Raw genomic sequence first — 9,743 nt, 5'->3', positions numbered from 1 at the left:
AACGTCTAAGCAATGGATGCTCCAGGGAGGAATGGGGTTGGTGTTAATAGACCAGGGTCTAGCTCAAGGATTGTGTTGTTGGCTCCTCTGTGCATGAGAACTGCTGGAGGCCAAACCCCTGCACTTGACTTCTTTTCCACGGGCCCTGTTTGTATCTTCCAGTGGGCTCAGCACATCATTTTTAGGAGAGGGTGTTACTTGACTGCGATGTTTATGGTGTTTGAATTCTTAATTCCTTGCAGTTGATTTGGAAACATATAAATAAAATAAACACACCACATGGTTCTAAGCTTATTTTTTTTTTCCTGGGAATAAACTAGATTGATCGGCCGGCTGTTTGAACTGTCGCATATAATGATTAAAACCCACATATTTTATGCTGGCAGTTGGTAAAATAGCAGGGAGTGCTCTTCGATTATATTGCTTAAAGGCTGTAAAGCTCCTCTCTCTCCTGGTTACAAAAATGTTTGCCTTTTGGTTGACTGATTTTGAGGCTCACTTGTTATACTACTTATTCAGGTTGGAAATCATTAAACAAAATGATAGCTCTTGGTTTAGGAGACTGACATCTAAAAACAAAATGCTTCTTGCTATTGGGTGCCCATCAGTTTCTCACTCCTATTAAAAATCGTTCTTTTCCCATATGGAAGCCCACAAGACCAAGCTTTTGTTAAACAGATTTAAAACACCAATCATCACCTCGTTAATCTTCACACTCTTCCCTGTTAAATGGAGACAAGTGTCATTACACCACACTGGGCCAACACCAGAAAGAGTGCAGTTCAGTGGGCAATTATAGGTCTTACAGGAACAAACAGGCACTCAATTCCCACTAAAGTATCAAGGTTGAATCACAGAATGATAAAGTATTAAAGCTGGAATTTTCTGTAAAGATGGAGAGGCAGGGTTTAAGAGCAAGTGCCCTGGAATTACCTAGTGCTCCTCTCAAATGGAAGCTCTGATTTTTACCTGCTTCGGCAAGTTTCTGAACTCCATTAGGCTCAGTTTCCTCATCAATAAAATAAAACTAATGAAAGTATCTGCTTCATACTGTGGTTGTGAGATCATGCACATGAAGCACTTATCACTCAGAAAAGTGTAGTTTAACATTATTAGGGTCAAGCTCAAATCCTCAGAGATTTTAGAGGTGAGGCTACTGAAGCCAGAAAGGTTGTGCCCAAAGTCCCAGAGTTGTGCAAGGTCATTTAAATTTAACCCTGCTGGACAGACTGGAGCAGACTCACTGCCTCCCCATCCCACCCCTTTATACAGGGAAGACCTCGCACAAGTCATCTCTTGTTTTTTGTTTTTTTTTTTTTTTTGAGATGGAGTTTCGCTCTTGTTGTCCAGGCTGGAGTGCAATGGCGTGATCTCGGCTAACCGCAACCTCTGCCTCCCGGGTTAAAGCGATTCTCCTGCCTCAGCCTCCCGAGTAGCTGGGATTATAGGCATGTGCCACAACACCCGGCTAATTTTGTATTTTTAGTAGAGACAGGGTTTCTCCATGCTGGTCAGGCTGGTCTTGAACTCCCTACCTCAGGTGATCTGCCTGCCTTGGCCTCCCAAAGTGCTGGGATTACAGGCATGAGCCACCACGCCCGGCCAGGTCATCTCATCTTTTTATGTCTCTGTTTCTCTTCTTCAAAATGCAGAGTGCTCATCTAGGGTCCATGGATGATGCTCTGAAGCTGACTGTACTGAAGCTTGACTGAAGAGGGTCAGTGGCTTTCATTATGGGCTCTGAGACCCAAAGAAAGTGCCATAATGGCAAAAACCGCAGTGACTTTTGCACTAACCTAATAAAAACCACGAAGAAAGATGCTCAGATCTCTCTGTAAAATTCTGTGACTCTAAGGGTGGATAATGGCCCAGCTGGGCCATCTTAACTGACTGAACACACCTGCTTCCTAAGCAACAACTCATTTTTGGTGTTCGACCTTGTCAAAGCAGTATCACATAATACTTCATAACAAAACCCAAGGCGGGCATTTGGGCACCACTTTATAGAACTTGAGATACAGAGAAAAGAAGTAACACAAAGGAATAGTGAGGCTTTAAGGAATAAAAAAAAAATTAGTTTTCTGGCCGGGTGCGGTGACTCACACCTGTAATCTCAGCACTTTGGCAGGCCAAGGCGGGCAGATCTCTTCAGGTCAGGAGTTTGAGACCATCCTGGCCAATATGGTGAAACCCAATCTCTACTAAAAATACAAAATCAGCCGAGCGTGGTGGCGGGCTCCTGTAATCCCAGCTACTCGGGAGGCTGAGGCAGGAGAATCGCTTGAACCTGGGAGGCAGATGTTGCAGTGAGCCAAGATCGCACCATTGCACTCCAGCCTGGGCAACACAGTAAAACTTCATCTCAAAAAAAAAAAAAAAAAAAAAAATTAGTTTTCTATCATGATGTGAGGGAAAGGGAAAAAACAATTTCATTTTTTTTCTGGAAATGAGCAGAAAATGGATAATATTAATTATGTCAGTGAGGATCTTGAGAAAGCCAAGGATGAGTCAGAGTTAGGAGTGTGAGAGATTGATTTGGGGAGCGGGGAGAGTGAAAAATAAAAGGGAAAGAAGCCAGACTGGGCAGGAAAAATCTTCAGACCATGATGCAGCTCTGACATTTGCAAAATGAACGTGCATGCAAAGCATGGAAAGCATAATTGGGCACGGAAAGCTTTGGAGCACCATGTAGCTCTGGCAAAGTCTTGGCCAACCCATGAGAGGAGTTTTGTGTTGGGCAGAAATATCCATGCCCTAGTGGCCCCCACCAGCACCACGCACCACACCCAGTTGCTGGCTGAAGGGGCTAACAGCTAACTGCGCTCTTTACAGCTGAATGAGAAGTCCTTTCTTGGAGTGATATCTAGGCAGTGTACCTCAATGACCGCCACTCAAATATAATTCATTCTCTGTACTTTGGGGAAGCAAACGAAAGGCAGTCATCTCTGATCCCAGTGGAAATAAGGGCTGTTTGGTCAAATGTCAGCAGAAAATGTCATCACTTATTGGAGTAGTTTGTTGCCAGGTACCAGGGACTCACCCACAAAGGTCTACTATTTGACTGGCCAGCAAGTCCTTGATAAGGGATGTGTATGCATTTGTGAAACCTCCGCAAACACCACGGATGGATAACCAGACTACTCTTAACCCAAAGTCGATTTCCACGGACACACTATAGGGCACAGATATCTGATTTGGAAGTCTGAAGTTTGGAGTCCAATTCTTTTTCTCTTTCCAAGGTGGGAAGTGGTGTTAGATTTCATGTTTCCATAGTAAGATGAACAGATGAACGTGGTACTTATGTTTTAAATTATGTAAGTGATTGTTTCTGTGACTACATGAAGAAATAGAGAGAAAATGAACAGGCTGTGTAGCTGTGTCCTCTCTGGAAGGGATCCTCCTAATTTGCCTTTGGATCGGCTCAAGGTGATTTGTAATCCTTTGCTCTTTCCTTGGGCAGTTTGGGTTCCAGTCTTGAGTCTATTTCCCTCAGAGAGTAGCCCATCAGGGCAGCCTCTGTGTGGGGGTGGTCAAAACCAGCTCCAAACTCAAATCAGTTAGGGATGCCTGGCACTAACCTATAAGATGAATCTCATCAGCTTTCAGGCACAGTCCCTTCAGGGGGCTACTTGTCACCCCTCTCTGCCTACAAAACTTCCATGAGGGAGGTTTTAGGGTGGGGTTCAACTCTGGCTCCTGCCAGGGCGACTGATAGGAGCCAGAATGCCTGCCAGTTAGGATAATTTTGGCTGCAAGTAACAGAAAGCCCTGATTCAAATGGACTCAATTAGTAAGGACATTTCTTAGCTCATTATGTATCAAAAACTATTGTAAAGTTTCAAGTACAAATTTATTTTTTTAATGTTGATAAATGGTAAGCTGGGTGCAGTGGCTCACGCCTGTAATCCCAGGACTTTGGGAGGCCCAGGTGGGTGGATCACTTGAGGTCAGGAGGTTAAGACCAGCCTGGCCAACATGGTGAAAACCCATCTCTACTAAAAATACAAAAATCAGCTGGGCGCAACGGCGTATGCCTGTAGTCCCATCTACTCGGGAGGCTGAGGCAGGAGAATTGCTTGAACCCGGACGGAACACGGAGATTGCAGTGAGCCCAGATTGCTCCACTACACTCCAGCCTGGGCGACAGAGTGAGACTCCATCTCAAAAAAATAAATAAATAAATAAATAAAGTTGATAAATGGCACAGAGTGCCAGGGACTCAGAGCTGGGTAGTGTATCTAGAGCCATAAGTACTGAAGCATGGAAGTTCCTCTGGACCTGAACATGAAGTAGTTAGGAGCTTTGCCTATTTCTCTAACTGTGCTGTGTCTGGCTGTGTAGCTTCCAAGCCTGGCTCTCTGGCCCTCCCTGAGGCTCTGAAAGCTACCTAGTATTTTTAATAAACTCCTTAAACTAGTGAAAGTGGATTCTAATGTTGGCAACTAAGAACTCAGCTGGATTCAGAAGAGCATATGTTTAAGATTAACCCAAGCCAGGTGCGGTGGCTCATGCCTGTAATCCCAACTACTTAGGAATCGAGGTAGGAGGATCACTTGAAGTCAGGAGTTGCAGACCAGCCTGGCCAACATAGTGAGACCCCATCTCTAAAAAAAGTTTGAAAAAGTAGCCAGTCATGGGGGTGTGCACCTGTAGTTCCAGCTACTGAGGAGGCTGAGGTGGGAGGATTGCTTGAGCTCAGGAGTTTGAGGCTGCAGTGAGCGATGATTGTGCCACTGCACTCCAGCCTGAGTGACAGAGCAAGATCCTTTCTCAAAAAATAAAATAAAATTAACCCAGTAATGTTGCCACAATTCCCAAATGATTGGGAATCAGTATCTCAGAATTTTTTTCCAAAGTAAAAGTACCTCTTTCAAATTGTAGAAAATTAGAATGCTTTTGGTTCTTCTACATGGGCATTTACCTCCACTAATGTCAGCAATCACCAAGCTGAAGAATGTTCATAGGCAAGGAATCTGTTGAAACAGAAATTCCTACTTTGCAATGATATTTTGGATGTTTCTTCCACAGTCTAAGAGCCTCATTAGCAAATGCCTGGCACTGACCTATAAGAGGATCCTCAAAGTTGTACCCTTTCCTTTAACTAGTACCACCATCTCTTACTCTTGTAATTATGACACTGAAACACCATGTATGATCCACTTACTGTAATCAGAAATCTCCAGAAGCCCTGAGGCAGTGTTTTATATCCTGCACTGGCATGGTGAAAACTATTTATGGTTATCAGAAATCTCCCTAGAAGGGTAAGGGAATAGAAATGTCATTGAAAACAAAAATGTCACATGCATGAGTATAACAGACTTAACTAACAAAGTCAGCCCACTTCCCTCCATTATATAATGGACAATGGTAACTGTTATACAATTAATCCACTCTTTTTTTTTATCTGAAAGGGGAAAATAGATGGTGCCATGAATTTCAGGGTTACTGGAATTTGGAAAAAGCTTTCTCTCTAGTGAAGTTTCAACTTCCCTTCACAAGAACTGTCTAGAGACTCCTAATTCCAGTCATACATTAATATTTTATTCTTACATTAAGATAGCCTTTAAAGGCTGGGCGCGGTGGCTCAAACCTGTAATCCCAGCACTTTGGGAGGCCAAGGCGGGTGGATCACGAGGTCAGGAGATCGAGACCATCCTGGCCAACACAGTGAAACCCCGTCTCTACTAAAAATACAAAAATTAGGTGGGCATGGTGGCGCATGCCTGTGGTCCCAGCTACTCGGGAGGCTGAGGCAGGAGAATCGCTTGAACCTGAGAGGCAGAGGTTGCAGCGAGCCAAGATCGCACCACTGCACTCCAGCCTGGTGACAGAGCGAGACTCTGTCTCAAAAAAAAAAGATTGCCTTTAAAAAAAATCTGTACTCTAAAACTCCAATGATTCTACACAAAAAACCTATTAGAAATAATGAATTCAGCAAATTTGCAGGATACAAAATCAACTCACAAAAATTGGTTGTGTTTCTCATACTAACAATGAACAATCTGAAAGGGAAATTTAAAAAACAATTCTATTTACAATAACACCAAAACGATAAAATATTTGGGAATAAACGCAACCAAGGAAAGACTTATACACTGAAAACTACAAAACATTGATGAAAGAAATTAAAGAAGACACGAATAAATGGAAAGACATCCCATGTTCATGTATTGGAAAACTTAATATTGTTAAGATGCCAATACTACCCACGGTGATCTACAGATTCAATGCAATCCCTATCAAAATCAAAATCCCAATGGTAATTTTTTTTGCAGAAATAGAAAAAAAAACCCTAAAATTCATATGGAAGCTCAAGGAACTCTGAATAGCCAAAACAATTTTGAAAAAGAACAAATATGGATGACTCACGCTTCCTAATTTCAGAACATTACAAAGCTACAGTAATCAAAACAGTGTGGTACTAACATAAAGACAGACCTATAGACCAATAGAATAGAATAGAGAGCCCAGCAATAAATGCATGCATATATGGTCAAATGATCTTTGGCAAGAGTGCCAAACCCCTCAATTAGGAGAGGGCAGTCTCTTAACAAATAGGGTTGGAAAAACTGAATATCCACATACAGAAGAATGAAGTTGGACATTTATGTTACACCATACAAAAATTAACTAAAAATGGATTAAAGACCCAAATTTAACACCAAAAACGAAAATTCCTACAAGAAAACAGGGGGAAATCTCCATGACACTGAATTTGGCAAGGATTTCTTGGATATGACACTAAAAGCACAGGCAACAAAAGAAAAATAGGCAAATGGGACTACATCAAACATAACTTCTGCACATCAAGGGAAATAATAAAAGGAATGAAAAATCAATCCATGAAATGAGAGAAAGTACTTTCAAATCATATATCTAATAAGGGTTAATATCCAGAACACATACAGAACTACAACTCAACAACAAGAAAAAATCAAATAACCTGACTAAAAAGTGCACAAAAGACTCGAATAGACATTTCTCCAAAGATCATATACAAACGGCCAACAAGCTATATGAAAAGATGCTCAATGTCATGAATCATCAGAGAAATGCAAATCAAAACCACAATGAGATATCACCTCTTACCCATTAGAGTGGCCACTATTAAAAAACAAAAAGAGAAAATAAGTGTTGGTGAGAATACGGAGAAATAGGAGTCCTTGTGCGCTGTTGATAGGATTGCAAAATGGTGTGACCACTATGGCAAACAGTATGGCAGCTCCTCAAAAACCTAAAAATAGAACTACCATATGACCCACCAATCCCACTTCTAGGTATATACCCAGAAGAATAGAAAGCATGGTCTCAAAGAGATGTTTGCACATCTTTGTTCAAAGAAACACTTTTCACAATAGCCAAGAGGTGGAAACAGCCTAAATGTCCATCGATGGATGAATATAGTATCTGCATACAATGGATATTATTCTGCCTTAAAAAGGAAGGATATCCTGTCACACGGTACAACATAGATGAGCCTTGAAGATAGTGAAATAAGTCCATCACAAAAAGACAAATACTGTATGATTTTATTTACGTGGAGTAGCTACAAGTAGTCAAATTCACAGAAACAAAGTAGAATGATGGTTGCCAGGGACTGGGAGGAAATGGGAGAGGAGAATTGTCTAATTTGTATGGAGTTTCAGTTTTGCAAGATTAGAAAGTTCTAGAGATCTGTTTCACAACAATGTGAATATACTCAACACTGCTAAACTGTACACTTAAAAATTAAGACGGTATCTCATGCCAGTTAGAATGACACTTATTAAAAAGTCAAGAAACAACAGATTCTGGCAAGGCTGTGGAGAAATAGGAACACTTTTACACTGTTGGTGAGAATATAAATTAGTTCAACCATTGTGGAAGAGTGTGGCAATTCCTCAAAGACCTAGAACCAGAAATACCATCTGACCCAGCAATTCCATTACTGGGTATATAGCCAAAGGAATATAAATCATTCTATTATAAAGATACGTGCACATGTATGTTCATTGCAGCACTATTCACAATAGCAAAGACATGGACTCAAACTAAATGCCCATCAATGATAGACTGGACAAAGAAAATGTGGTACATATACACCATGGAATACTAAGCAGCCATAAAAAGGAACAAGATCATGTCCTTGTCAGGGACATGGATGGAGCTGGAAACCGTTATCCTCAGCAAACAAATGCAGGAACAGAAAACCAAACAGCGCATGTTCTCACTTATAAGTGGGAGCTGAATAATGAGAATACATGGACACAGGAAGGGGAACATCACACACTGGGGCCTATGGGGAGGGGGCAGGGGGAGGGAGAGCATCAGGTAAAATAGCTAATGTATGCTGGGCTTAATACCTAGGTGATGGGTTGATAGGTGGCAGCAAATCACCTTGGCATACGTTTATCTATGTAACAAACCTGCACATCGTGCACATGTATCCCAGAACTTAACATAAAATTAAAAAAAGAATTTAAAAAAAGTTAAGACGGCAAGTTTTGTGTTATGTGTTTCTTACCACAATAAGAAAAAAAAAAACAAAAAATCTCTGTACTTCAAAAAATATAACATGAAGGTACATGTCAAATCCAGAGACCTCTGCCATAAGCATGCACTCCATTAGCATTTGAGAGCATATCAACGTTTTCAATTGATTTCTTTTCTTGTCCCATATTACTGTGCAACTGGGATGTCAGACCTTGATTTCCAGTTCAAGTGAAGGCTGCTCCCCAGTATTGTCCAGAATGCAATGCTTAGGCCCTTACCTGCCCAGACTAGTAGAAATCCATTTATTCCCTCCCTCGATGTCCTCTTACGTGCTGAGAGCCCCTTGGGAATTTTAGCATCCTAGCCTGAAAATTCCCACTTCTCTTCGTGAGAATCAGAACTCATAGCACCCTCTTGACATTGGATAACACCACAGTCATCACCAGCTGGCTGCAGACCACCAGGCCAGGGGAACATTGCAGCTGATGGGACCACTTGTCCCCACCTATAGCTGCCAAAGAAGGGATGTAGCCGGGTGTGGTGGCTCATGCCTGTAATCCCAGCACTTTGGGAGGCCGAGGCAGGTGGATCACCTGAGGCCAGGAGTTTGAGACCAACCTGGCCAACATGGTGAAACCCCGTCTCTATTAAAAATACAAGAAATTAGCCAGGCTTGGTGGCAGATGCCTGTAATCCCAGCTACTTGGGAGGCTGAGGCACGAGAATCGTCTGAACCTGGGAGGCAGAGGTTGCAGTGAGCCAAGATGGCGTCACTGCACTCCAGCCTGGGTGACAGAGCAAGACTCCATCTCAAAAAAAAAAAAAGAAAGAGAAAGAAAAAAAAGAAGGGATGTAGACTAAGAAGCCATGTGATGTGAGAAATAACAAATCCAGCGGCTGGGATTCTTTGGACCCATCTACATGGCCACTTTACCAGGCTAAGCCTGTCCCCAGGAGGACTGCACTGGGACAAGTTCATGGGTGCCCTACACTCCAGACCTAGGATTACCAGTTCTGATTCAAATCTGCAGCCAGTCCACTGCTCCAATCTCCCCCGCCCCCATAGCAACTGCATTGCAGGGTCCTTGGTGCCATTTCCTAACCCCTGTGTTTGTTCTCTGTGGTCCAGGTCCACATCAACAGATTTCATCACTGGATCTCAGTGAGAAGGCTTGGTGCTGACAGTGCCTTTCCTTCCAGAAGGCCCTTGGCCTTCTGATACAAATTTTCCCATCCCCCTGCCAGCAACCTTCAAACTCTGTATATCATAA

The 9,743-nt window shown here is 42.4% G+C and overlaps 1 annotated feature.

Moving 5' to 3' along the window:
- Positions 488 to 1,046: an enhancer, noted in NCBI's record as "NANOG hESC enhancer chrX:24428490-24429048 (GRCh37/hg19 assembly coordinates)". NCBI's record gives its function as "activates a minimal SCP1, AML or CMV promoter by ChIP-STARR-seq in naive H9 embryonic stem cells {active_cell/tissue: H9 hESC(naive)}" and the evidence as "EXISTENCE:reporter gene assay evidence [ECO:0000049][PMID:30033119]".

This window comes from Homo sapiens, chromosome X (genome assembly GCF_000001405.40).
Source record: "Homo sapiens chromosome X, GRCh38.p14 Primary Assembly".
Lineage (NCBI taxonomy): Eukaryota > Metazoa > Chordata > Mammalia > Primates > Hominidae > Homo > Homo sapiens.
The sequence above is the reverse complement of the archived record's forward strand: the minus strand, read 5'-3'. Positions and strand labels throughout refer to the sequence as shown.